The 27,719-nt window shown below is 44.1% G+C and overlaps 1 protein-coding gene and 1 non-coding gene across 4 annotated transcripts, besides 5 other annotated features; both read left to right on the top strand.

Moving 5' to 3' along the window:
* On the top strand, positions 34-11,914 carry EIF4G2 (eukaryotic translation initiation factor 4 gamma 2). 3 transcript variants are annotated; one of them, NM_001418.4, is made up of 22 exons: positions 34-255; positions 1,579-1,705; positions 2,075-2,140; positions 2,913-3,053; positions 3,945-4,047; positions 4,542-4,673; positions 4,757-4,823; positions 4,910-5,061; positions 5,370-5,480; positions 5,666-5,749; positions 5,832-5,930; positions 6,525-6,666; positions 6,751-6,911; positions 7,186-7,299; positions 7,873-7,998; positions 8,125-8,229; positions 8,313-8,528; positions 8,612-8,870; positions 9,204-9,408; positions 9,536-9,747; positions 9,847-9,968; positions 11,079-11,906. In NM_001418.4, the coding sequence occupies exons 2-22, from the start codon at positions 1,665-1,667 to the stop codon at positions 11,142-11,144; spliced, it is 2,724 nt and encodes a 907-aa protein (NP_001409.3). In that variant the 5' UTR covers positions 34-255; positions 1,579-1,664; the 3' UTR covers positions 11,145-11,906. The 3 variants fall into 3 exon arrangements, with proteins under 3 accessions (NP_001409.3, NP_001036024.3, NP_001166176.1); NM_001172705.1 differs by lacking the exon at positions 34-255 and adding an exon at positions 964-1,411 and having other exon boundaries at positions 11,079-11,914; NM_001042559.3 differs by lacking the exon at positions 7,186-7,299.
* Positions 192-451: an enhancer, noted in NCBI's record as "active region_4449". NCBI's record gives its function as "activates an Ori minimal core promoter by ATAC-STARR-seq in GM12878 lymphoblastoid cells {active_cell/tissue: GM12878}" and the evidence as "EXISTENCE:reporter gene assay evidence [ECO:0000049][PMID:35858748]".
* Positions 1,182-1,261: an enhancer, noted in NCBI's record as "active region_4448". NCBI's record gives its function as "activates an Ori minimal core promoter by ATAC-STARR-seq in GM12878 lymphoblastoid cells {active_cell/tissue: GM12878}" and the evidence as "EXISTENCE:reporter gene assay evidence [ECO:0000049][PMID:35858748]".
* Positions 7,352-7,493, top strand: SNORD97 (small nucleolar RNA, C/D box 97). The gene has a single exon (NR_004403.1). It is a non-coding gene; the product is annotated as a small nucleolar RNA, C/D box 97 (small nucleolar RNA).
* Positions 16,003-16,552: an enhancer, noted in NCBI's record as "H3K4me1 hESC enhancer chr11:10813955-10814504 (GRCh37/hg19 assembly coordinates)". NCBI's record gives its function as "activates a minimal SCP1, AML or CMV promoter by ChIP-STARR-seq in naive H9 embryonic stem cells {active_cell/tissue: H9 hESC(naive)}" and the evidence as "EXISTENCE:reporter gene assay evidence [ECO:0000049][PMID:30033119]".
* Positions 16,203-16,342: a silencer, noted in NCBI's record as "silent region_3153". NCBI's record gives its function as "represses an Ori minimal core promoter by ATAC-STARR-seq in GM12878 lymphoblastoid cells {active_cell/tissue: GM12878}" and the evidence as "EXISTENCE:reporter gene assay evidence [ECO:0000049][PMID:35858748]".
* Positions 16,553-17,102: an enhancer, noted in NCBI's record as "H3K4me1 hESC enhancer chr11:10813405-10813954 (GRCh37/hg19 assembly coordinates)". NCBI's record gives its function as "activates a minimal SCP1, AML or CMV promoter by ChIP-STARR-seq in naive H9 embryonic stem cells {active_cell/tissue: H9 hESC(naive)}" and the evidence as "EXISTENCE:reporter gene assay evidence [ECO:0000049][PMID:30033119]".

Below are 27,719 nucleotides of genomic sequence, written 5' to 3'. Positions count from 1 at the left end.
GAGTGATAAGTTCGGCTTCAGACACGCCTTAGCGCCAGCAGTGAGTCGGAGCTCTATGGAGGTGGCAGCGGGTACCGAGTGGCGGCTGCAGCAGCGACTCCTCTGAGCTGAGTTTGAGGCCGTCCCCGACTCCTTCCTCCCCCTTCCCTCCCCCTTTTTTTTGTTTTCCGTTCCCCTTTCCCCTCCCTTCCCTATCCCCGACGACCGGATCCTGAGGAGGCAGCTGCGGTGGCAGCTGCTGAGTTCTCGGTGAAGGTGAGTTGAGCCGCTGCCGCCGCCGAGTGGAGCGCTCTAAAATGGCCGCCGTCCCTGGTCGCTTCTTCTCGAGTGGTACAAAATGGCGGCCGCAGGCGGAGCCGGGTGGGGCGACCCTTTTTTAGCATTTCCTCTGCGCTTCAGATACCTGGAAAGTCTTGGCTTTTGTTCTCTCTTCCTGTTGCTGACGGAGTAGAAGGAAAACGTCAGTGTTGGCCAGGCCGCCGTGCGGTCATGGCCGGATGGCCGACGCCTGCAGGGACGAGGCCGTGGCGGACCGAGGCACGGCTGTGCTCGGACGGCGAGGGAGCGTGGCTCGGACCGCTAGCGCCGTGGCGGGAGGCACGCGGGCCGGCAGGGAAGGCCAGGCCGTTGGCGCGGGACCAGGGAACCGCAGGCGTCCCGGAGCCTGGCCTCCCGGCGGGGAGGTGTGTAGGACCTGGAGTCGGCAGGGGCTGCCCTTCGTCGGGGAGGAAAGAGAGAGTGATGATTTCTGCCCCTTTTGTCAGCAGAGGAGGCCGTGGCGAGGCGGTTGTCAGTCCCGGGGGGATTTATGGTGCAGGAGGGGGCCCGCTTGGAGGCGGCGGGTGGGCAGGAGGCCGCCTTCCTGCTTGGAGAACAAAGAGCTGGGCGCCGGGCTGGCGGGGGTGGCCTCAGCTGCTCCTCCCCGTCGAGCGACCCGGGCCTCGCGGGGAGGTTGTCGGAAGCACTTCCCTAACTTGCGCCTGGGTGGGAGGAATGCTCCGCTCTTTTGTTCCCAGGAAGGGAAAAACGGGGCGGAGGTTCCTGCTGCCATGTTGTGGCCCTGGTCTTCCGCCTGCAAGTGCTAGTCCTGTACACCCGGCCCCCTCTCGCGCGTCTTTCCACGAGCTCTCCACGGGGAGGAGGCGAAAGGGTGGACAGGGGAAAACTGCTGAAGAGCTTTCGGAGAGACCTCATCTAGTCGCTGGCCTCGTCAAGGCAGTAAAAATTCCTAGGGCAGACATTTTCCACGTGATGTTGCTCGTGTCTGTAGTTAGACTTTTCTATTGATCTCAGTGCTCAGTTTTAAAGATAGTAGAATGTGGCTTTTTCAAAAGATTCGTTCTGAGCCGTTTAAAATGCTCTTGTGTTCTACGAAGTCTCTTTGCATCCTTGAACACCGGGGAATTTCCAGGTGGCTAAACAAAATGTAATTGTCAGTGTTTTGAGTACATTTTAGGTTAGTCTTACAGATCTGCAATGCAGTGACAGTGCCAGGATCTGAAATACGTTGTAATTGAATGAAGGCTTATAGATCTGTATGTTAGCAGTGTCTAATTTTGGTGCTCTTTCTCGTTCCAGGTATTTCATTTCTCCTGTCCCCTCCCCTCCCCACCCCATCTATTAATATTATTCTTTTGAAGATTCTTCGTTGTCAAGCCGCCAAAGTGGAGAGTGCGATTGCAGAAGGGGGTGCTTCTCGTTTCAGGTACTTGTAGATTTATTTTGGGGAATCCTTTTGAAAAGGCCAGTCTCAAAAAGTAGTTAACACAGCAAATAAGTCCGACTTAATGGGCTGCAATTTTCATTTGAAAAGTTCTTAAGTTTTCATTGACAGCCTTCTAAGAACTGCCATCTGAAGAATAAATAAAATCAATTATTTGCCTTTCCTTTGGGTCCGAGTTCAGTCTTCATTTGTAGCATAATATACAAGCACTAAAATACAGGCCTGGCTCCAGTCTGGGCAAAATAGCGAGACCCCCATCTCTACAAGCAAAGCAAAACACAAAATAGATGCTTATTCTTTTTGAGTGAGACATAGTTGGGATACAGTAAACAATTTTTTTCTTTTAAATAGTGCTTCTTCGGGCGGAGGAGGAAGTAGGGGTGCACCTCAGCACTATCCCAAGACTGCTGGCAACAGGTGTGGTAAACATGTAAAAAAACAGTGAGCTTTATTTAACAGATTAAAAGTCTTTCCCATGTGACGGTATAATTAAGGCAATAGCCATCAAGACTCCTAATCTTAAGGGGCGTGGTTTCTGTTGGGTATCCTAAATACAGAATATCAGTTCCTGATTATTCCTTAGCCAAATTTTCTAAGTGAGTTGAGACTCTCAAGCTGTTATTTTTTTCCTTATTCTTTGGGTTATTTTTACTAATGTGTTTTTCTGAAATCAGTAGCTATTATTCCTACTGATTGTTATTAGTAAAGTAGTACGCACTCAACATGGTCAATAAAACATTAGAAAGTGTTTATTGGCAGCCGGTACAGTGGCTCACACCTGTAATCCCAACAACAACTTTGGGAGGCAAAGGTGGGAGGGTCGCTTGAACCCAAGAGTTTGAGATCAGCCTGGGCAAGACAGCAAGACCCCATCTCTTAAAAAAAATGTTAATTTTCAAAATGTGGTTCCACAGCGTTGATACTGGGAATATTTACTAGACATGCAAATTCTTAGGCCCCACCCCAAACCAGTGAAAGCAGAAACTGGGTGGGCCCAGCAATCTGTATTAACAAGCCCTTCAGGTGATTCTGATGCACACTACTGTTCCAGAAGCACTAATTTCCAGAGTTGGCTTTCTTGGAGGGGAAGTCGAGAAAGCCTAAATTACTTTTTTCTATGTAAGAGAATTTATGATGTTTAACATTTGGTGTGTGACAATAAGTGTTTTTGCTGATTTTTATTAATCAGCGAGTTCCTGGGGAAAACCCCAGGGCAAAACGCTCAGAAATGGATTCCTGCACGAAGCACTAGACGAGATGACAACTCCGCAGCAAACAACTCCGCAAACGAAAAAGAACGACATGATGCAATCTTCAGGAAAGTAAGAGGGTAAGTTTCAAGGTCTGTTTTACTAAAAGATGGGAAGTGTGGATTAGCTGTGTTTGGTGTGTGTGCTGTATTACTAAGAAGGCAAGGTTCATGCCCAGAGTATGTATGTTTTAATGAATCCTCATGGTAGCAATTTTTAAAAATATCTTGAACTGGCCAGGCACTGTGGCTCACGCCTGTAATCCCAGCACTTTGGGAGGCCGAGGTGGGCAGATCACTTGAGGTCAGGAGTTTGAGACCAGCCTGGCCAACATGTTGAAACCCCATCTCTACTAAAAATACAAAAATTAGCCGGACGTAGTGGCAGGCGCCTGTAGTCCCAGCTACTAGAGAGGCTGAGGCAGGAGAATCACTTGAATACCCCACAGGTGGAGGTTGCAGTGAGCCGAGATCACGCCACTGCACTCCAGCCTGGGTGCAGAGCAAGACTGTGTCTCAAAAAAAAAAAATGTATCTTGAACTGAAGAACAGCACGTCATATTTTGGGGCTTCCCGTTGCTTTCAGCCATTGGATTGCAATCCATAATCCTGTCATGCTAGCATTTCCCTTGACTAAGGGAAGTGCTATGTTATTTAAGCCAGTGAGGCAGGGAATATAATGGTCTTAGTTCATGGTCTAGCCTTGATAATGAGATCTTTGCGCTCTAACCTTGAGAAAGTGAGAAAGGATTCTTGTCAAACAGCTGGGGACCCCCCAGTCCAATTCAAATCATTGTAATTAAAATAACAGGTTTATTTCAGCATCCCTTTGGTTTTAGATGAGTAAGAAAACATGTCTTGATTTTTTAAAGGGAGCAAGTTAGAAGAAAAATCAGTATAATTTAAAAGCAGTTTTTCAATTCAAATTCTGTGTATTAGCTAACACTTAAAATGTAATTCCTTTTTCTCCAGCATACTAAATAAGCTTACTCCTGAAAAGTTTGACAAGCTATGCCTTGAGCTCCTCAATGTGGGTGTAGAGTCTAAACTCATCCTTAAAGGGGTCATACTGCTGGTAAGTTTTAAATATTGGCTTAACTCAAAAGGGAGAGGGAACTGTTTAACAAACTCAAGTTGTGTTTTTTTACACTTGGATTACTACTTAAAACCCTTAGGTGTGAGTTAGATAGGTATGTATTTTTGAATACTGATGGTGATTAAAAAGAACCACTGACTTTAGTAGCATTAGATTGAAGAGGTAAATGTTAAGTTCATGGTATGGTTGAAGAGGTAAATGGGAGTGCTTAGCAAGCTGTTCTTTTTCTTTTGTGGAAAACACCGTATTTAGGTCTTGGAAATGCATTGTATGACAGTTTATGTAGACTTGAAAGTTTTGATATCCATGGCATTTTCTGACTCCCAGGAGATGGATGTGACTAGATGAAATCTGTATAACTGGACATTTTTGGTAGACTGTAATAGCTAACATTTAGGTGGTTGTATTTTTCCTAAAGGAAGGGTTCTTGGAGAAGTTTTCATATTTAGTTTAAGCAATGACATTTTCTGTAGATTGTGGACAAAGCCCTAGAAGAGCCAAAGTATAGCTCACTGTATGCTCAGCTATGTCTGCGATTGGCAGAAGATGCACCAAACTTTGATGGCCCAGCAGCAGAGGGTCAACCAGGACAGAAGCAAAGCACCGTAAGTGGTAGTTTTTGTTTGCTTGTTTTAAAGTTGACTTGAAAAATTTCCTTAATAAAGCATGACAATGTCTTCTTTTCCAGACATTCAGACGCCTCCTAATTTCCAAATTACAAGATGAATTTGAAAACCGAACTAGAAATGTTGATGGTAAGACTTATAGCTGATAATAAGTACTACTGTATATTTTCAGCTTAATTCTGAATGTTGGCTTACTTCATTGGTATCTTTTTCAGTCTATGATAAGCGTGAAAATCCCCTCCTCCCCGAGGAGGAGGAACAGAGAGCCATTGCTAAGATCAAGATGTTGGGAAACATCAAATTCATTGGAGAGCTTGGCAAGCTTGATCTTATTCACGAATCTATCCTTCATAAGTGCATCAAAACAGTAAGTGTGACAGGGAAGTTAGGCGAATGTAGTCAGTCGTTTGGAGGAAATGAGTCAATTATTCATCTAAGAGGGAGGTTGACTAGTTAAATACAGATGTGCAACAAAATTTACTAAACAGAATAATTTGAAATACGTGGTGTGTTTGACAAAGTAGAGTTAGAACTGATCAACCAGACTGGTAGAAAGCCCTATACTAGATTCTGTAGGAACTGTGAATGAGTCAGTGCAAACATAAAGGGAAAGAAAGTACTACGCCTAAACCAGAGTAACTAAAACTTTGTCACCATGGCCTTTTATTCTTGTAGCTTTTGGAAAAGAAGAAGAGAGTCCAACTCAAAGATATGGGAGAGGATTTGGAGTGCCTCTGTCAGATAATGAGGACAGTGGGACCTAGATTAGACCATGAACGAGCCAAGGTACGTGTGTAGCTGATGAAAGTAGTACAAGTAGTTTGTCTTTAAATCAAGCTATTGATTTTTGTGACATCATAAGGGATTGCCATATTTAGCCATTAACTGGGTTATAATTTTAGAAGTCTTAAAGCTGTAAATTGAACACATTTGCTTTAGCTCTTCCAATGAATGTATTCTTCTCTTATCAGTCCTTAATGGATCAGTACTTTGCCCGAATGTGCTCCTTGATGTTAAGTAAGGAATTGCCAGCAAGGATTCGTTTCCTGCTGCAGGTAATACTGGTTTCTTTAAATTTGTTGGTAAGCTGAGTTTTTGGTTTAGGAATATTAAAATAAAATTATTTTTCAATTAAAGGATACCGTAGAGTTGCGAGAACACCATTGGGTTCCTCGCAAGGCTTTTCTTGACAATGGACCAAAGACGATCAATCAAATTCGTCAAGATGCAGTAAAAGTAAGATTGGGTTTTGTTTTGTTTGTCACATAGACTCTGTGTGTGTAGAATAGAATGGGTTTCCTCCTCACCCACCCCAAACGCTTGAGGGGTCTGTCTCATCTTAGTGGTGGAGCTTAATGTTTTTAGTGTCTCGTCTTCCACTTTTATTTTTTTATTTTTTGAGACGGAGTTTCGCACTGTCACCCAGGCTGGAGTGCAGTGGCGCATTCTCGATTCACTGCAGCCTCTGCCTCCCAGGTTCAAGTGATTCTCCTGCTTCAGCCTCCCCAGTAGCTGGGACTATAGGCGTGCGCCACCACACCCCGCTAATTTTTTGTATTTTTAGTAGAGACAGGGTTCCACCATGTTGGCCAGGCTTGTCTTGAACTCCTGACCTCATGCAAACCAAGGCTTGGGCCTCCCAAAGTCGGGGGATTACAGATGTGAGCCATCATGCCCAGCCTTGTCTGCCATTTTTGGAAGAAGTTATTTACAGAAATAACATAAATTATGGTTTAATATTCTAGGTTTCCCCCCCTAGTTGCAAGAATTTTAGTTTTAAGTGAAATAGTGTCCAGAGACAAAAAGTGCATATTCACTTCATTTCTAAAGGATCTAGGGGTGTTTATTCCTGCTCCTATGGCTCAAGGGATGAGAAGTGACTTCTTTCTGGAGGGACCGTTCATGCCACCCAGGATGAAAATGGATAGGGACCCACTTGGAGGACTTGCTGATATGTTTGGACAAATGCCAGGTAATTTTGAAAAAACAATGGTTGCGTTAAGCTGAAAAATCAGTTAACTTTAGTTTTGAGAGTTGTCCGTATATGTATTTTAAGGTAGCGGAATTGGTACTGGTCCAGGAGTTATCCAGGATAGATTTTCACCCACCATGGGACGTCATCGTTCAAATCAACTCTTCAATGGCCATGGGGGACACATCATGCCTCCCACACAATCGCAGTTTGGAGAGATGGGAGGCAAGTTTATGAAAAGCCAGGTAAGTAATATTTGAGTGTGCATGTTTTCTAAACCTTATCTGCAACATTTATTTCAAACTGAAATGTTTATCCTTAAGATTAGTAAAGTATTAGTAAAATCACATCACTTTATTTGATAGGTTAGATTTTTATTCTTCCCTGTTTCATCTTTTACTTTCTCTGGGCAAATTCAGTTAAACTAACTTTATGGCTTGGCTCATCCCTTTGGTACTTGATTACCATAATTTGTGGACCCCTTTTTATCTAGACTTTCTTTCTCCTTTTCTGAAATAGGGGCTAAGCCAGCTCTACCATAACCAGAGTCAGGGACTCTTATCCCAGCTGCAAGGACAGTCGAAGGATATGCCACCTCGGTTTTCTAAGAAAGGACAGCTTAATGCAGATGAGGTACATTTGCCTATGTTACTTATATACCATAGTTTGTCCATTCAGAAATTTATTGCCCGATGATTATAAAAAGACGCGTTATTAAGAGGACTTTATGCTGGAGTTCTTGACGTTTTTCTCTCTTTTCTATACTTCTTTTTCTTTCTTTGAATGTCCAGCGTCCTGTGAGCGAAGATTATGAGATATGAGGGCAAGTCTCCTAAAGTCTGTTAGAGCAAGAAAACTGGTTGTCAAAATATTGTGGTTTCTTTCTTTGTAAGGGTGATTTAACTAAGGATAAAACAGGGCATTTTCTAAACTGTAGTTAAATTTGCAGTTTTTTATTTGAATATTTTAGTCATGCTAATTCTAAGAGAATGTAAGATTTATAATAGTATCTTACTACTGTATGCATCAGATCTTTAAATTTTTTGCCAAAAATTAAACCTGTTAATGTGGAGTACCTTCTTTAGTTTTTCAAAAAGCTTAATGTTTCCCTAGATTCTGTCACTGTATAGGATTTTAGAATGTTGTATTTAATATGTTCGCCAACTGCATGTTGTTAATTTAGATATATTTTGTTTTCAATTCCAGATTAGCCTGAGGCCTGCTCAGTCGTTCCTAATGAATAAAAATCAAGTGCCAAAGCTTCAGCCCCAGATAACTATGATTCCTCCTAGTGCACAACCACCACGCACTCAAACACCACCTCTGGGACAGGTACAGACCATAGTAGGACAGCATTTTCTAAAGATATCTGAAGACTTTTTTCTAAATTTAGTGTGTTCTTCCCCCTAATTTCATAGTCCTCTTTTTAAAAAAAGTCTGTCATTGCTTGTTTTTTAGACACCTCAGCTTGGTCTCAAAACTAATCCACCGCTTATCCAGGAAAAGCCTGCCAAGACCAGCAAAAAGCCACCACCGTCAAAGGAAGAACTCCTTAAACTAACTGTAAGTTTCAAATATCCCATTTTAGTGTAATTAGCCTGTATTTGAGATAGAGAATACATTAAAGATACTTGTGTTCTTCACAGGAAACTGTTGTGACTGAATATCTAAATAGTGGAAATGCAAATGAGGCTGTCAATGGTGTAAGAGAAATGAGGGCTCCTAAACACTTTCTTCCTGAGATGTTAAGCAAAGTAATCATCCTGTCACTAGATAGAAGCGATGAAGATAAAGAAAAAGCAAGTTCTTTGATCAGTTTACTCAAACAGGAAGGGATAGCCACAAGTGACAACTTCATGCAGGTAGGACACTTTACTGATTGTGTGGTAAGAACTCTTACCACTCAAATTCGAAAACTGATAAACTGTTGTATATTTCTTTCAAGGCTTTCCTGAATGTATTGGACCAGTGTCCCAAACTGGAGGTTGACATCCCTTTGGTGAAATCCTATTTAGCACAGTTTGCAGCTCGTGCCATCATTTCAGAGCTGGTGAGCATTTCAGAACTAGCTCAACCACTAGAAAGTGGCACCCATTTTCCTCTCTTCCTACTTTGTCTTCAGCAGTTAGCTAAATTACAAGATCGAGAATGGTTAACAGAACTTTTTCAACAAAGCAAGGTCAATATGCAGAAAATGCTCCCAGGTAAGAGAATGCTGACTTGTTTGTTTTGTTTTTTTAATATTATATCTAGAGATTTCAGGTACCTTGAGTGGATTTATGTAGGTCAGACAGTCTGATTGTCCTGCTCAGATAATGATAAACATTACCACAGATCTCACCTATAAAGAGAGATTTATAATTTAACTACTTTCATTTGATCCGTATGTTGAGTTTTTTTCATTTGCTGGGTTGGTTCTCTATTCTGCTACATGGATCTTACATACTTGGGGACATCATTTGTGAAGCTCTGCTCTCTGGACAGGACAACTTGGTAAAATGAACTATTAGATGATGCAGGTGGCTTTGTCTCTTCAGAAATTGATCAGAATAAGGACCGCATGTTGGAGATTTTGGAAGGAAAGGGACTGAGTTTCTTATTCCCACTCCTCAAATTGGAGAAGGAACTGTTGAAGCAAATAAAGTTGGATCCATCCCCTCAAACCATATATAAATGGATTAAAGATAACATCTCTCCCAAACTTCATGTAGATAAAGGATTTGTGAACATCTTAATGACTAGGTAAGACGAATGGTTTTCTGCATATGGTAATGTTTCATGTACTGGAAAAGAAGCGTAGGAGACTAAGAGTTGTCTCTTGAGCAAGAAAACTCACTGTTGGGTTCTAACAAGACCTCTTTCTGTCCAGCTTCTTACAGTACATTTCTAGTGAAGTAAACCCCCCCAGCGATGAAACAGATTCATCCTCTGCTCCTTCCAAAGAACAGTTAGAGCAGGAAAAACAACTACTACTATCTTTCAAGCCAGTAATGCAGAAATTTCTTCATGATCACGTTGATCTACAAGTCAGTGCCCTGTATGCTCTCCAGGTGCACTGCTATAACAGCAACTTCCCAAAAGGTGAGAGGACTTGTATCAGAAGAACGGCGTGAGGAAGTTCTTAAACAGAACACTAAATAATGGGCTTATTACTTTTTTCTTTTTTTTTTTTTTTTTAAGGCATGTTACTTCGCTTTTTTGTGCACTTCTATGACATGGAAATTATTGAAGAAGAAGCTTTCTTGGCTTGGAAAGAAGATATAACCCAAGAGTTTCCGGGAAAAGGCAAGGCTTTGTTCCAGGTAAGTCTTTTGTTAAAAATTTGGTCTGCTTACTTCAGTTTGCTTGGTATTAACTTCAAGTTAAGAGCCTTTTTCAACTGAAATACAGGCAAGGTAGTCCTAGTTAGTAGTTTGTCTTCACCTGTACATTTCATTCTGCACTATTTGAAGCTATTATTAAGTAAAGCTACACAATGAATCAATTCTAGTGGTGTATAAGATGTTAGAGGTAGCTAACTTTTCAAGGAGTATAGCTACTTATATACATGGGAGTGACTGTACAAGTTTCGATTTAAGCTTTTTTAAAAACATCAGTAAAGAGGAAATTGTAGCTGGGCACGTGGCTCATGCCTGTAATCCTAGCACTTTAAGAGGCTGAGGTGGGAGGATCACTTGAGCTCAGGAGTTCAAGACCAGCCTGGGCAGCATAGTGAAACCCTGTCTCTAAAAAATACAAAAAATTAGCCAGACGTGGTGACATGTTCTGTGGTCCTGGTCCCAGCTACTCGGGAGGATGTCTTGAGCCCAGGAGGCAGAGGTTGCAGTGAGCTGAGATCACACCACTGCACTCTAGTCTGGGCAACAGAGTGAGACTGTGTCTCAAAAAAAGAAAAAAAGTTTAAATACTATATATTTTTCTAAAAAGAGGAGATGTTTCTGATTTCTCACAATTTGATTTTTTCTTATTGAATGAACTTGTAGCCCTAGGGGAAGAACATCAGGGCATTCTCTCAAATCACCTGAAGAGCAGTTTAAAAAGCAGGTTCCAGGCCTATTCCTAGAGATTCTGGTTTAGTAGGTCTGTGGTACAAAATCCAGGTGATTCTTTCTCATGCTACTAGTTTTCCAGGGGGCCCAGGCTTGAGAAACATTGGTCCTGCAGCATCTTCCTACCTTTTTATTGCTGATGATAAACAAGATTCACGAGGATCATCCTTGCAGGATTAAATCTTTAGCTCTGTGTTGTCCCAAATCTGGATAATATACCACTGTTCGTTAACTTAATATACAAATTGTTGGTAGGGATATCCTTGTTTCATATTCTAAAACTGTGTAGTACCACCTAAAACTTTTTGGATGGATTTCTGTTTATATCATGAACTATTTTAATTTACAAATCTTAATTTATAGGTGAATCAGTGGCTAACCTGGTTAGAAACTGCTGAAGAAGAAGAATCAGAGGAAGAAGCTGACTAAAGAACCAGCCAAAGCCTTAAATTGTGCAAAACATACTGTTGCTATGATGTAACTGCATTTGACCTAACCACTGCGAAAATTCATTCCGCTGTAATGTTTTCACAATATTTAAAGCAGAAGCACGTCAGTTAGGATTTCCTTCTGCATAAGGTTTTTTTGTAGTGTAATGTCTTAATCATAGTCTACCATCAAATATTTTAGGAGTATCTTTAATGTTTAGATAGTATATTAGCAGCATGCAATAATTACATCATAAGTTCTCAAGCAGAGGCAGTCTATTGCAAGGACCTTCTTTGCTGCCAGTTATCATAGGCTGTTTTAAGTTAGAAAACTGAATAGCAACACTGAATACTGTAGAAATGCACTTTGCTCAGTAATACTTGAGTTGTTGCAATATTTGATTATCCATTTGGTTGTTACAGAAAAATTCTTAACTGTAATTGATGGTTGTTGCCGTAATAGTATATTGCCTGTATTTCTACCTCTAGTAATGGGCTTTATGTGCTAGATTTTAATATCCTTGAGCCTGGGCAAGTGCACAAGTCTTTTTAAAAGAAACATGGTTTACTTGCACAAAACTGATCAGTTTTGAGAGATCGTTAATGCCCTTGAAGTGGTTTTTGTGGGTGTGAAACAAATGGTGAGAATTTGAATTGGTCCCTCCTATTATAGTATTGAAATTAAGTCTACTTAATTTATCAAGTCATGTTCATGCCCTGATTTTATATACTTGTATCTATCAATAAACATTGTGATACTTGATGTAGTGATGTGTGGCTGTAAATGGCATCCATAGTCTGGGAGAATTGTCAGCTTTGTTTTTGAGGTATAGGAGACCCACCTTAGTTTGACTTAAGGACTTCCCAATTTTTGTTTTTCTGCTGTACAAGCCTGGGTTCCAGAAGGAATTTTTAGACTCTTCAAGATGAGACACAAGATTTAAGGTGTTTATTTCCTTTGAGTTACTGAAACTAACCAATATAAACGATTTTTATGATCAAAGATCACAAGTCTTATGAATTTGGAGGAACATAGCTACACATAGCAACTAAAATTTGGTGACAATTTATCTTTTGTCAGACTGAAATACATGGTGATCTCTGGATAAGCTTAGCTGTCCTGCAAGCATCATTCCCAGTAGCTGCCCCAAATGTCCAGGAAGATCCCTGCTTCCTCTGGAAAAATTCCAGTGTCCCAGTAAAATTGACTTCATTCAACTAAACCTCTGCATGTTTTCCAAAAACACACACGAAGGATTTGTCTCCAGCCCTGGAACATTCTGACAATCCTAGGATTACTTCTAACATTGGCATGGATGGGGACTCTTGAAGTGTGCTACTGGAGTCCTGGTTGATGTCAACACCTAAGAACCTGTTCTTGGTGATTGGGGAGACCCTCAAGGCAGACTATCATACTGCCGAACCCATTAGAACCTTGAAGTCAGAAGAGGCTGCCTGCACATGCTCCAGTGGGTGGGAGGCAGAACCAATCAATGTTTTTGTGTCTGTCTTATTTGGGCCAGGGAAGCTAAATCTTGCATTATGGCACTCATCTTCCCCTGAAGTTTTAACAAGTCATAAGCTTTTGGGTACTTTGAGTACAGCAAAATTTAAAGCTAAACAGATTTGTATGAACCTACCTAAATTTTAAAGGGGCTGTAAATTGTTTCTCTGCCCAACCCTCCCCACGAAGGGGAGGAAACTAATTTTTAACCTAGCAAAAGGAGCAACTGGTTAGGTGGATCAGCTAGTCAATTCTTATTGCCAGAATTTGCCTAATTCAGCCAGGGTATCAGGCTAAAGGAAGTTTTAGAACTAAACCTGGGCCTGGGTGCAGTGGCTCACGCCTGTAATCCCAGCACTTTGGGAGGCCTAAGGCGGGCGGATCACCTGAGGTCGGAGTTCAAGACCAGGCTGACCAACATGGAGAAACCCTATTTTCTTCTAGAAAAATACAAAGCTGAGTGTGGTGGTGCATGTCTACAATCCCAGTGACTCGGGAGGCTGAGGCAGGAGAATGGCTTGAACCTGGGAGGCGGAGGTTGCAGTGAGCCGAGATGGCACCATTGCACTCCAGCCTAGGCAACAAGAGCGAAACTCCGTCTCAATAAAAAATGAACTAAACCCGGTACGCAGTGGTTTGTCATTGCTTACAGAATCATGCTTTAATCTTCCCACCCCAAACATGTCAAGAGCTACTCAAAATATTCAACCCATAGAGAATGTATAATACTGCTGCTACCTTGTTCTAAAGACACCTAACAGTGTACTTTATAATCTACCATACTGTGGAATGGCAGTATCTGGGTATAACTGGGATGTACCTTGCATGATTGCCAATTTCTTTAGTATCAGCATGTAGTGACTAATCTTCATTCACTTCATGGTGACTTCAAAATAAGATTGCATGTCTTTACTGCCCCCAATTTTTTTTTCCTTTACTGCAAAATTGAAAGAGTTGTCTAATTTTCCCCATTCTGAAGCCTCAGTAGGGCTTCACTCCCCTGGTTCCCCACACCAAAACTTTCTTAGGGTCACCAGTAACTCCAATGCTATATCCAGTAGGTTTTGATCCTCCTGTAGGCAGCATTTGACAAGTTACTCATTCCTTGAAAGTGTTAACTTGTTCCCAGGACATCTTTTTCTTCTCAGTTTCCAATGGGAGATGCCTGATCTCAACACTTTTTCAGTTGTTGTCATACTCTGCATCCATTCTAGCATCAAATCATGTTGATTGCATTCCAAACATTTTAGAAATTGAAGAACTCATTTCTTCAACCACCACCCTCATTTCTTACCTAGGTACCACAGTAGCCTTAACTGGCCTCCCTGCCTAGCCCTCATCTCCATTTTGTCGTCTCAACACAGCACCACTTGGCTCAAAACCCGCCAAATGGCTTCCCACCTAGTGGGATTTTTATGTCAAAATACTTAATTTGGTCTACATCACCCCACATCTGATTTTCTTAGCCCTCTCCCCATCCTTGCCCCACAACCTGTTTCTCTGATCTAATTTCCTACTGCTGGCACTTAATCCTTCTGCTCCCACCACACTGGATTTGCTGCTCCTGGGACATGCCAAGCATCTTCTTACTTTGGAGGTTTTATGTTCCTCCTTTCTTCTGGATAACTGGATGACTGGCTTTCTCCCCCTCCTCAGGTCTTGGCTCAAATGTCACTTTTTTTTTTTTTTTTTTTTTTTTTTTTGAGACGGAGTCTCGCTTTGTTGCCCAGGCTAGAGTGCAGTGGCGCGATCTTGGCTCACTGCAAGCTCCACCTACTGGGTTCACGCCATTCTCCTGCCTCAGCCTCCTGAGTAGCTGGGACTACAGGCGCCCGCCACCATGCCCGGCTAACTTTTTGTATTTTTAGTAGACACGGGGTTTCACCGTGTTAGCCAGGATGGTCTCGATCTCCTGACCTCGTGATCCGCCCTCCTCGGCCTCCCAAAGTGCTGGAATTACAGGCGTGAGCTACCGCGCCCAGCTTCAAATGTCACTTTTATTAGTAAAGTCCTCATTGTCAATTCTGATAACCTCCTGCAGATCTTAAGGGGCAGGAAAGAAATTCATATATATATTTAAAAACTCTAAACACATCCTCATCCCTCTTTCCTTTTTGTATCTCCATGTCTCATTACATGACATACTGCATGGTTATATCTGATTCCTGCTAGAATGTGAAGAGCATGAAGTATTTGACAGTTTTTTTCACTGCTGTATTCCCAGCATCTAGAACAGTGCCCAGTGCCCGGTAAACTCAAATATTTGTTCAACCAAATCATGAATTAATAAAATTACCCTACATGGCAGGATGTGGACATAGAGGAAGGAAGTAGTGGGAAGACCTCAGACTCGAGTTGTAGATCGATCTAGGGTTAATCTCTAACACAAGCAGGGTGATCTTAGGTAAGATATTTTTTATCTGAGTCTTGATTATTTTAGAAATTATTTTAGAAAATTTAGCTTGGGCAACGTGGGGAAACCCTGTGTCTACAAAAAAAAAAAAAAAAAAGTAGAAAAATTTGCTGAGTGTGATGATGCACACCTGTAGTCTCAGCTACTCAGGAGGCTGAGGTGGGAGGATCACCTGAGCCGAGGAGGTCGAGGCTGCAGTGAGCCATGATCACGTCACTGCACTCCAGCCTGGGCAACAGAGTGAGACCCTGTCTCGAATGAATGAATGAAAATGTGGCTAACGTGCAGCTGTAGTTCCAGCTACTCTGAAGGCTGAGGTGGGAGGATTGCTTGAGCCCAAGAGTTTGAGGCTGCAGTGAACTATGATCGTGCCACTGCACTCCGGCCTGGGAGACAGAGCAAGACCCTGTCTCAAAAATTTAAAAAAAAAAAAAAAAAGAAAGAAAGAAAACAGGGTTAATACTTAAGGATTGTCATGAGAGCTAAACAAGCTAATATGTAAAAGTCACTAGGGAAAGCATCCCACATAGCAGCCCAATAGATATGAATGTCACCCTCCTTTCTAAGATTCCTCCCCAGGAGAACTGCTTCCATCTTCTGAACTAACAAGATCATTGGCTAGATATAACTAAAGGGTATAGCTCAGTCTTATTTGATCAATCAAAAGCACTTGCCAGTTGACTTTCCTCTTTCCCACTTTGTTTTTCTCCCAGCTTCTCCTCAGTCTCCTTTAAAAGCCCTCTTTTTTCACCTGGCCCCTGAATGTTGCTGTTTTGCCTCCCTCCTTCAACACTGTCACTCACTTCTGTGGATCCGATTACCAGCTATCTGCTGATGACATCTGTATCTTGAGTCCAAACCCCTTTCCAGAATGTCTAACTCGCACATCCAACCAGCCCCTGGACATATTTCTGAATGTGCCACAGCACTTCAAACTCAATATTCATCCCTAAACTTTTTGCCGCAAACCAACACTCCCTCCCTTTCTAACTCTGCAACCATAGCCTCATGCAAACCAAAAACGAATCACTTTCTCACTAGACAATTTTCCAAGCAAAGTCCTACAAGAATATGCAAGAGCCCTGGACGAGGAGACACCTGAGCACAGGGCAGAGAGTAGCGGACACAGGACATTCAAGTCCCACAGCCTGCCCTGCCCCGCCCCGCAGCCCTGCCCTTGCCCGTCCTGACCCAGGGGGAGCGCAGGAGGCTGAGCTGGACCCAGGTCCCCGACCGATCAGCAACGCTGTCCCACAGCGCCCTCTGCCGGGATGCTGGGAGACCACCCCTGGCAGGTGGGTCGGGTTGCAAGGCTCTGGCCCTTGTCCTGTACGGCCCACGCGGAGGCAAGACCGAGACCCACTGGTCACGCTCATGGAGAGGGGGAAGTGAGAATGTTGCCCTGGGCTTGGTCTCCTGTCAACGGTGCATGACACGACGATGTGACTGGTAAATGAGCAGTGACTCCTCAAGAGCTGCTCAGGTCAGCTGCACAGCATGCCGAGCCACAGAGCAGAGCGCAGGCCCCAGCTTCCCGGGTCATCAGTCTCGGAGCCTAGGCCAATCGCTGCACCTCCCCAGGCTCTATCTGACTTACCTGTGAAATTATCCTTGGTCTGCCCAGCTCTCCAGTGCGTTTCGAGGGGCCGCATCGCTAGGTATGGAACATCAGTGATGGACAGCTGTGGAACTGTTCTACAAGTCCATGCGTCTCGCAAACATGTACTGAGTACATATTTGCCAGGGGCTACTCCAGGGCCAGAGATGTAACAGTAATGAGACAGTCTTCTTCTGGAAGCAACGTTCTGGGTGATAGCAGAGAGACAGTAAATCAACAAACGTACAGTGCCAGGCAGTAAAAAGTGCTGTATGCAGGGATGCGAGTAAGGGCTAGGGAGTGGAGTGAGTGCTGCTTGAAAGAGGGGGTTCTGGGATGGCCTCAGGAGGAGGTGGCCTTTGAGCAAAGATCTAAGAGATGCCAGGGGGTGAACTCCACAGCCATCTGGAGGAACAGCATTCCTGGCAGAGGGGAGGCCAAGCTGGAGGCCCTGAGATTGGGAACGCACCTGGCCTGTCTGAGGAACAATCTGGCCAAGCAGAGGGCAAGGGGGTTTGAGGCTGAGGAGAAGGGCGCCGGCCAGTGCAGAGAACTAGTCAGACCCAGTAAGGACTTTGGCTTTTATGCTGAGTGAGATGGGCTGCCTTTGGAGGATTGCTTTTTATCATTTGTTAATATCAATCCCTCATTAAGACCAGTGCAGTGCCTGCACTGCATCCTGAGCTCTGCTAGGACATATTATGATTATTGTAGCTAATGTTTGCCGAGGAGTTAGCATATGCCAGGCTGGACCAAATGCATCAAGGTAGTCATCCCTTGTAATCATCCCAACATCCTTGAGGCAGGTGCTTCACTATCCCCCTTCACTATCCCCATGTCTGAGCCCCAAACTGAGGCTCAGAGAAGCAAAGCACCTGCCCAAGATCTTTCATGTATTTGGCAAGTAGCTATGAACGCCTTTTCTGCATTGTATTAGGCTGTTTTCACACTGCTATAAAGAAATACCTGAGACTTGGTAATTTATTAAAAAAAAAAAAGAGGTTTAATTGACTTACAGTTCCACATGTTTGGGGAGAATTCAGGAAACTTGCAATCACGGGAGAAAGTGAAGGGCAAGTAGGCGCCTTCCTCACAAGGCAACGAGAGAGAGAGTGTGAAGGAGGAACTGTCAAGCACTTATAAAACCATCAGATCTCCTTGTGAGAACTCCCTCACTATCATGAGAACAGCATGGGGGAGACCGCCCCCAAGATCGAATCACCTCCCACCAGGTCCCTCCCTTGACACATGGGGATTATGGGGATTACAATTTGAGATGACATGAGATTTGGGTGAGGACACAGAGCCACATCATATCATGCATGCTCTTTTGAAGTACTGGGCCACACATCTATTAAGTCATGGGGTGGTGATTCAAGCCCTACACTGTAACTCAGGAGCCGGTGCTCATACCAGATACACCAAAATGCATGTTGGGGTAGGGGACAGAAACTGAAGAGAGAAAGTAAAGGACCCTTTGCAGAGGCAATGAGCTCCTCATGCTTGGAAGTGTAACCAGGGCGGAATGAGTGTAGGGAGGGGCAGGTGCTTCTGAGGGTTGGGGTGTAGGACCGGAGGTGAGGAAGAATCAGCCCCCTAATCCTTCTGTCATGGGTTGAATTATGTCCCCAGCCCCCAAAGATATATGCTGATGTCCTAACTCCAGGTACCAGTGAATGTGATCTTCCTATTTGGAAATAGGGTCTTTGCAGATGTAAGCAAGTCATTAGAGGAGGCCCTAATCTGATATAATGGTGTCCTTATAATAAGAGAAGTGGCACACAGACATGCAGGGTGAGTGCCATTTGATGACAGGGGCAGAGATTGGAGTGACGTCTCTACAAGCCAAGGACTGCGAAGGTTTGCCAGCAATGCTAGCAGCTAGGAGAGAGACATGGACAGATTATCTCTAGAGCCTTCCCATGCCCTGCTGACACCTTGATTTTGGACTTCTAGTCTCCAGAACAATGAGAGAATATGTTTTTGTTGTTCAAGACACCCTGTTTGTGCTACTTCATTACGGTAGTCCTAGAAACTAATACATTGCCCCCAACCCCAGTACCATCACTTCCATCCAGGGCCACCGTGCCCTCTAGCTCTGTCCCTTCCTCTCTCCTCCCCTGAACCCACCAGCTGCTTCACAACTCAGCTAGGTACAGAAAGGTGAGGGAAGAGCTTGGACGAACCAGTAAATAAAATGAGTGAATGAATGAGCAGTGGAGCTCTATTTTGTTCTGAGAAAAATTCTTTGAAGAAAATTAGTAATCTACTTTAGTACTAAAAAATTAGAAAATAAGCCAAAAGAAAAGATATAAAGCTAAGCCTATTAAAATTTTTCATAATTTGGGGTGAGGTGACTTTTCTTTTCTTTGCTTTGCTTCTTTTTTTTTTTTTTTTTTTTTTTTTTTTTTTTAGAGTCTCCCTCTTTCTTCTAGGCTGGAGTGCAATGGCATGATCTCGGCTCACTGCAACCTCCACCTCCCGGGTTCAAGCAATTCTCCCTGCCTCAGCCTCCCGAGTAGCTGGGATTACAGGCGCCTGCCACAACGCCCGGCCAATTTTTGTATTTTTTAGTAGAGACAGGGTTTTGCCATGTTGGTCAGGCTGGTCTTGAACTCCTGACCTCAGGTGATCTGCCCGCCTCAGCCTCCCAAAGTGCTGGGATTACAGGCGTGAGTCACCGTGCCCGGCCTAGGGTGACGTGACTTTTCTAAGCACGTTACTCGGGAAAGTTCCAGATTCTGTAGGGCCTGAAGTTTACATAATTTGGCAGGGGTGGTGGAGGTCTCTTTAGGAAAAAGAAAACAAAATCACAAATGAAAAATTAGGTGCAGCCTTGGAAGAGGCCCAGGCAAGTGAGGGACCCTGATGCCTAAGCTTTAACTTCATGGAACATCTATCTCTTTGTGAAAAAAATATACATATCCAGAAACGATGAAGGGAAATGTTGACAGATTTGCCTATTAATCTGTCCCAAAATGTTATAAAGGATAAATTAAAATATTTGCATGTGCACAATCAAGGGTTAACCACAAAAAGCTCTTTAAAAAATCAGTGGGAAAAAAAGACTAACCTTTTTGAACTCTGACTATATTATTCTCAGAATAGTCCTGGGATGTAGACATTGTTATCCCAATTTAAACAGTAGGAAATTGAAGCTGAGGGGGATGGAGCCATTGTTCAAAGTCACATCATTTGTCAGAGGAAGAGCTAGGATTTAGAGTTCGAATAACTCTAAAGTCCGCATGTTTTCTATTACACGGCAGTCAAAATTGGAGCTGATTTCCAAAGATGGGGAAAATAAAACAAAATGTGGCAAACTATAAATACCTGCAGGTTTTGTTTTGTTTTGCTTTTGTTTTGTTTGAAGACAGGGTCTCATTCTGTCGCTCAGGCTGGAGAGCAGTGGCACAATCTCAGCTTACTGAAGCCTCAACCTCTTGGGGTCAAATGATTCTCCTACCTCAGCCTCTCAAGTTGCTGGGACTACAGGTGGGCCACCATGCCCGGCTAATTTTTTGTAGAGACAGGGTTTCACCATGTTGCCTAGGGTGGTCTGGAACTCCTGGGCTCAAGTGATCCACCTCCCTCAGATTCCCAAAGTGCTGGGATTAGAGGCGTGTTTCACTGTGCCTAGCCAATACCTGCAGTTTTTATCCTCTTGAAAAAAAGCCTGACATTTTCGCTCTAACAATTTTTTCTTCTTCTTTTTTTTTTTTGTAGAGAAACATCTTCACTATGTTGAGTCTTCCAGTCCATGAACATGATATATCTCTTAATTTAAGACTTTCTTTTTTTTTTTTTTTTTTGAGACAGGGTCTCACTTTGTCACCCAGGCTGTAGTGCAGTGGTGCCATCTCAGCTCACCGCAACCTCTGCTTCCCAGGCTCAAGTGATCCTCCTGCCTCAGCCCCCAAGTAGCTGGGACTACAGGCACACGCCACCACATCTGGCTAACTTTTTGTATTCTTTGTAGAGATGGGATTTCGCCATGTTACCCAGGCTGGTCTTGAACTCCTGAGCTCAAGCGATCCTCCCACCTCGACCTCCCAAAATGCTGGGATTACAGGTGTGAGCCACTGTGCCCAGCCTGAGTCTTCTTTGATATTGTTTTCATCATTGTGTAATTTTTAGAATACATATCTTATACATGTGTTGTTAGTTTTGTTTATGTTTTTTACTTTTATTACTTTTAATTGACACACGATAATTGCCTGACAATTTCCAATTACATGAGGCCCTGTCAATTACATTTGTTTGGACAATAATCTACAGTTTGGGGATGACACATTAACCTGAAGTGATCCCAATCAATAGCTAGTTTTTGATGTTTATGGAGGCCTTCGAGAGGCTTGGTGTCAAAGAAATTGAATACAGACTTAATTGTTATTCCTGGGGACACGGTTGTAAAATCTCAAGAGTTTGCAAAAGTTATAAACAAGCATTTTAAAGATTGCTTTAAAAAGTGGTACATTAGCCTGGGCACAGTGGCTCAAGCCTGAAATCTCACTGCTTTGGGAGGCTGAGGCAGGAGATCACTTGAAGCCAGGGGTTTGAGACCAGCCTGGGCAACACGGTGAGACCCTGTCTCTCCAAAAATTTTAAAAATTAGCCAGGCACAATGCTGTATTCCTGTAGTCCTAGCTGGTAGGGAGGGGAGGCAGGAGGATTGCTTGAGCCCAGGAGGTCGAAGCTGCAGTAAGCAATGATCTGACTATTGCACCCCAGCCTGGCTGACAGAGCGAGAACCTCTCTCACACAAAAAAGAAAGAGCAGTACATCAAATGAAGATGGGAAAAGCCACCTACGGGACAAATGGGAAGGCCAGTTGTTGTTCTAATGCGATGCAGAGGAGTGCTGGCAGCTCAGGACAACACATTCAGCCACAGGGCCATGGACTCTCAAGCCTGGACCTCAAACAACACGATGGGTGGGAAGGCAACGTTCTCCTGAAAACTGTTAGATGATTCCGAAAGTGGCTCAAGTACAATGGACAAAGATTCTGTGATAAATTTGAGTGAAATTATTGTATGGAATATGAATGGAGGAAAGCACTTGTTCTCAACATTTTATGAATGTGTGATTTAAACACATTTTAAATTTAATAAGTATTATTAGTAGACATTGAACTATTTCATCTACATCCCCAAAGTTTGTAAGTTTAAGTTAGTGAAAAATCTTTTGGGCAGACAGAGAACCTTTACAGTGGGCATGGGGTCACGTTATATTCAGGACACCTTATACTCAGGCATCTATGATATTTGAAGCTCAAGACACAGCTATTGGCCAGGCGTGGTGGCTCACACCTGTAATCCCAGCACTTTGGGAGGCCGAGGCAGGTGGATCACCTGAGGTCAGGAGTCTGAGACTAGCCTGGCCAACATGGTGAAATCCCGTTTCTACTAAAAATACAAAAAATTAGCTGGGCATTGTGGCGTGTGCCTGTAATCCCAGCTACTCAGGAGGCTGAGGCAGGAGGATCGCTTGAACCCAGGAGGCAGAGGTTGAGTGAGCCAAGAGCATGCCATTGCACTCCAGCCTGGGCAACAGAGTGAGACTCTGTCTCAAAAAACAAACAAACAAAAAAACCCACAACTATTGCTTTATCTTTGGAAATGCTGAGCTGTAACCACCAAGTCACCAGTGCGTGGGGACAGCATTGTCTGACCACATTGCTCTAAAAAGGCAGCATCCATAACAACATGCCCTGGAGAGACAAGGTCGCGTGCATGGGGCTTCCACTCCATGGCTGAGACACCTGGGCCCTGGAGTGGGGCACCCCAGCTTCCTGTCCCAGGAGTGACGCCTCTCCTGAAGTTCTACTGCCCCTCCCTCATGCCTCCAAAAACAGGATCAGTGCATCACCCGAGTGCAGGAAAGAGCATCCCCAAAGGCCCTACTCTGTGCAGTTGGAACTGGTTACCTGTTTTCCCAGCCTGCTTCAGCCCTGCCTCGCCCACGGGAAGTCCAAGGGCCCCAGTATGGACCTGGACCTCACGCTGAACTTCTCCATACACCTGCTAATGTGCCCCCAATTCTCCCTCCCTCTCCTCCCCTCTCCCCGCTCCCCAACCCTTCCTCCACACCCTCTGGGCCTCACGGTCTATCAGCAGCAAATTTCCCACATCCTCAATATCTTCTCTGGACAGTTCTGTCATCTTCTTGCTCTAAAGGAAACCTGGCTGTCCTGTGACATCATCACTTCCCCTGCTGCCTTGCGTCTCATGCCCAGTGGCCTTGGCGTGGCCAGTGTCCACTCTGCTTTCTGTCCACCTCTTTCTTCTGAAGGCCCAGGTCCTTTAAAATTTGTGCCGTCGGACCTCACCACCTCCCCGGTGTGCTCACCTGCCCACTCTTCACAAGAGCTGTTTCACATCGTCTCCTCCCTGAGCCTCCTCTCACTCATTCCTCCTGCCCCTGGTAATATCCGCTTCTCCACACCCCACCCCTACCTGCTGAAATTGCTTTGTCAGGCTTTTAAGCCTCAAGGAAAGAAAAGTTGAGGGTGTTCTCCCAGAAAGGGCACATTTGTAATGCTATACAACCTCCCGGGCTCAAAGTGTAGTCTTTGGATTCGTTTCACCTGAAAGCCGGTTAGAACTGCAGAATGTCTGGTCTCACTCCTGACCCACTGAATCAGAATCTGTAGGTGATTAGCCCATTAAAATCTGATGAGCCCTGATATCCACCCTAATCCGCCCAGGCCCCATTGCTGACCACCAAGGACTGTACTGCCTTCCCAGCCACGGTGACTCTGGGCCTCAGCTTCTACCTCATTGAGAAGCAACTCCATCCCCTAAATCTTCCTACCATCTAAGCTACTGACTTGCTAATAATTGCACTGACACATGATTTCCTTTTTTGTGGATGAAGGGACTCAGCTCTTTGCAAAGGCCAACCCTTTCCTCATGCTCCAACCCCATTGCCTAGAGTCAAATAACTATAAGGCATTTGTCATCCCTGCCACAGGGACAAGGACCTACCAGCCACACCACAGCTGTCAAGGGGAGCACACCGTCAGCTCATGTGACTACTGAGAACTTCCGAGCTGCCTTGAATAGGGGTTTAGAACAAGATCAGCTGTTTGCAATGTGAGATTCCAGAAGGGAGGGTCCCGAGGCTTCCTGGAGGATCAAAAGGGTGGGAACCCGAGTTCTGAAATTTCTATAAACCATGAAAAAGAAGGAGGTGCATGGTTCCCATGCCAGAGTTCAGCTAGAACCAACAAGAAGGTTGCAGGCTGTGGAAGCAAGGTTTTAAATCCATGAAACTAGCCCCAGCGTTTGCCCCTCACAGTTGCTTCTGGCCAAGGAATATATTGATGCTCCCTTCTCCCACCTCCTTGGCCTAATTGCTTTAGCTGCCACTCCAAGCTGGAAGCAGCAGGAAGTGAGATAAGTAAGGAGCGTGTCTGCACCTAGGCACAGGCACACACACGCAGACCAGGACAATCCGCAGCGGGCTAAGGCAGGAATTGAAGTCGCCACTTCTTTTCAGTTAAGGAAATCGGAGCAGCAGCTCCCATGGGAGATCAAAACAGTATTGTTTCAAAGAACAAAGCAGTTCAGAAGAGAACAAAGGTTTTGGCATTGATCCCCCTCTGGAGAAGATAATATCACAGACATTCCACCCTGTCTGGGACTAAAGACAAACCTACATGTTCATTTATTGAGATTATGCTCAAGAGTAGTGATCTTTGAGTAGTTTGACGGACATTCAATGCCTTCACAATTGTCAATATGAGAAGAAAAGCTGGTGGGCATAAGGACAGTTTGTAAGAAACAGCAGCCTGACCATTTCCAGCCACGTGGAGAGTCTGGCAGTGCATCTGCTGTGGCTGCGTTTGTGAAGGGGACCTGGACTTATGCCACATGCTACCACTGAGTTCAAGTGGAAACCTGACTCCCACAAAATGCATTTGCTAAAACACATTCTAGAAGAGCAGGATGGAGCTGCAGAGGCCTCAGAGCAGAGTCCAATCCTTGCCACAACCTCCATGTTTAGTTAATTCAGTTTTAAATTTATATTCAAAATATAAATTAGCATCTACTTCTTGCCAGGCTTTATGATTGGCCCCTGGAAATAGATGGAAACACTATAAGCTCTGTCCTCAAGTTCATGGTCTGGTGGGGATAAATAGATCATTTCAATCAACACTAAGGGGTCACGCAGGGCAGAGGCAAGGAGCCTGACACCTCACTTTCTACGGTAAAGCACAATGATAGCAATGTTCAAATTATGACCTACATCCTCAGAAGGGGCTAAACTCCCAGACAGGTTTAAACACTTTGCTCGAACATAGCATATATGGGAAAGGAGAGGGGTGCAACTGGGAAAGGGCACACAAGAGGCACACAGGAAAGGGCTCTAGAAGGGATATAGAGGTATTAGTTTGTATTTATCACATCATATACTCTTCTATATGCATGATAAAAAGAATGAATAAAACTGAGTCTTTCATAATACTGAAACTTCTGATTGAACTGTAGCTTCCTTTCGGCAATCCCCCCAGATGTCCAGTTATAGGATACAATTATCTTTCCTTTTTTTTTTTTTTTTTGAGACAGAATCTCACTCTGTTGCCCAGGGTAGAGAACAGTGGTGCAATCTCGGCTCATTGCAACCTGTCCCCTGGGTTCAAGTGATTCTCATGCCTCAGCCTCCCGAGTAGCTGGGATTACAGGGGTGTGCCACCACGCCCTGCTAATTTTTGTATTTTTAGTAGAGATGGAGTTTCACCATGTTGGCCAGGCTGGTCTCGAACTCCTGAGATCAGGTGATCCACCTGCTTCAGCCTCCCAAAGTGCTGGGATTACAGGCGTGAGCCACTGTGCCCAGTCTTTCCTTCTTGCTAAATCAGTTTGAAACAGAGTTTTCTGTGAATTGTCACCAAAACTTCCTAATTGCTATAGCATTTTCATAACTTACTTGACTATCGAACTCTTTTTTAAGGAGTATCTTTTGGAACTAGCATGTCCTGGAAAACACTCTGGGGAACCCACTGGATCGAGGTCTGTTTAGGAGACAGAATTAAAAAGAAGGTAAATTCACAACTTGAGTGACTTCTGCAGAAGATACCTGAAAAGCCAGCCCCACATGCCTTGCTAATAAGTGTTCTCTTCACTATTTAGCTGTGGACTTCATGAACAAATATACTTGCCCTCAGAGTGTTAGAGTAGTGGCAATCCAGAATTGATCAGCTATATCAAGGCATATGCACAAAAATTGAGATATTTTCCAAAACTCACTGTTTTAAAAATGAAAAAATGTTATCAAAATACCTCTGCCATAAAGCAGAATAAAGAACAGCAAAAGGGGATGGGCATAGTGGCTCACGTCTGTAATCCCAGCACTATGGGAGGCCGAGACAGGTGGATTACATGAGGTCAGGAGTTCAAGACCAGCTTGGTCAACATGGTGAAATCCCGTCTCTACTAAAAACACAAAAATCAGCTGGGCATGGTGGCATGTGCCTGTAGTCCCAGCTACTCAGGAGGCTGCGGCAGGAGAATCACTTTAACCCGGGAGGTGGAGGTTGGTGAGCCAAGATCGTGCCACTGCACTCCAGCCTGGGCGACAGAGCGAGACTCTGTCTCAAAAAAACAAAAACAAAAACAAAAACAAAACAAAACAAAACAAAACAAAAAGCAGCAAAAGACAAGAGCCAAATAAATATACTTCCTTAAAACAAATTTTTTAAATTGTTTTTGCTGGGTGCGGTGGCTCACGCCTGTAATCCCAGCACTTTGGGAGGCCGAGGCAGGCGGATCACCTGAGGTCGGGAGTTCGAGACCAACCTGACCAACATGGAGAAACCCTGTCTCTACTAAAAATACAAAATTAGCCAGGAGTGGTGGCACATGCCTGTAATCCCAGCTATTTGGGAAGCTGAGGCAGGAGAATCACTTGAACCCGGGAGAGGGAGGTTGCGGTGAGCCGAGATAGCGCCATTGCACTCCAGCCTGGGCAACAAGAGTAAAACTAAGTCTCAAAAAAAAAAATTTTTTTTTTTTAATGAGACAGGGTCTCACTCTATTGCCCAGGCTGGTCTTGAACCCCTGGCCTCGAGTAATCCTCCTACCTCAGCCTCCCAAAGTGCTAGGATTACTGGCACGAGCCACCACACCTGGCCCAAATAAATATATTTCGTAAGCAAATATATCTGTATCTATAAGAAATTAGGCTTAAAATAGCAGACAAGATTTTCAATTACTAGAAACACCTCAAGTTAAAAATGCAGTTGAGGTAGAGACACTGTATTTAAAATCATTTTGGCTGGGCACGGTGGCTCACGTCTGCAATCCCGGCACTTTGTGAGGCCGAGCTGGGCGGATCGCCTGAGGTCAGGAGTTCAAAACCGGCCTGGCCTGCATGGAGAAACCCTGTCTCTACTAAAAATACAGAAATTAGCCAGGTATGGTGACCAGCGCCTGTAATCCCAGCTACTCGGGAGGCTGAGGCAGGAGAATGGCTTGAACCCAGTTAGGTGGAGGTTGCAGTGAGCCAAGCTCATACCACTCAACTCCAGCCTGGGCATCAGAGCAAGACTCCGTCTCAAAAATAAATACATAAATAAATAAATGAATAAAATAATCTAGAAAGCCCCCAGAATGTTAAAAGGATCATAAACAACCTTATTTTATAGATAGGGATACTGAGGCTGAAAAGTGAAGCATTTTGTCACATCGAGTGTCAGAGTCAAACTAGGAGCCAGGGCAGCCTTCCTATCATTAGAGGCTGATCCAAAGTGAGAATCTCTGACTCTAGCTGCAGTCTGATTTGCCCGGCCCCAAATCGGAGGATACACTGAGGTCTAGACGCATTTGATTTGCCTGTAGCATATACCCTTTCCTGGGCCCATAATGCCATTACAGGAAGCATTGCCACCAACCCATACTTCCTAGCATACCCAAAAGACCAGAGCATCAGAAACTACCCCTACGACAAAAGTTGCACTGATCATAGGCTCCAAATTCCAGTTCGAGATGATATTATTATCCTTTAAAAGGTCTTTCTTGCCTCTTTTGGCTAATGACACTCCCAGGGATGGAAATTGTTCATT

Source organism: Homo sapiens, chromosome 11, assembly GCF_000001405.40.
Source record: "Homo sapiens chromosome 11, GRCh38.p14 Primary Assembly".
Classification (NCBI taxonomy): Eukaryota; Metazoa; Chordata; class Mammalia; order Primates; family Hominidae; genus Homo; species Homo sapiens.
This window is presented reverse-complemented; position numbering and strand designations above follow the sequence as displayed.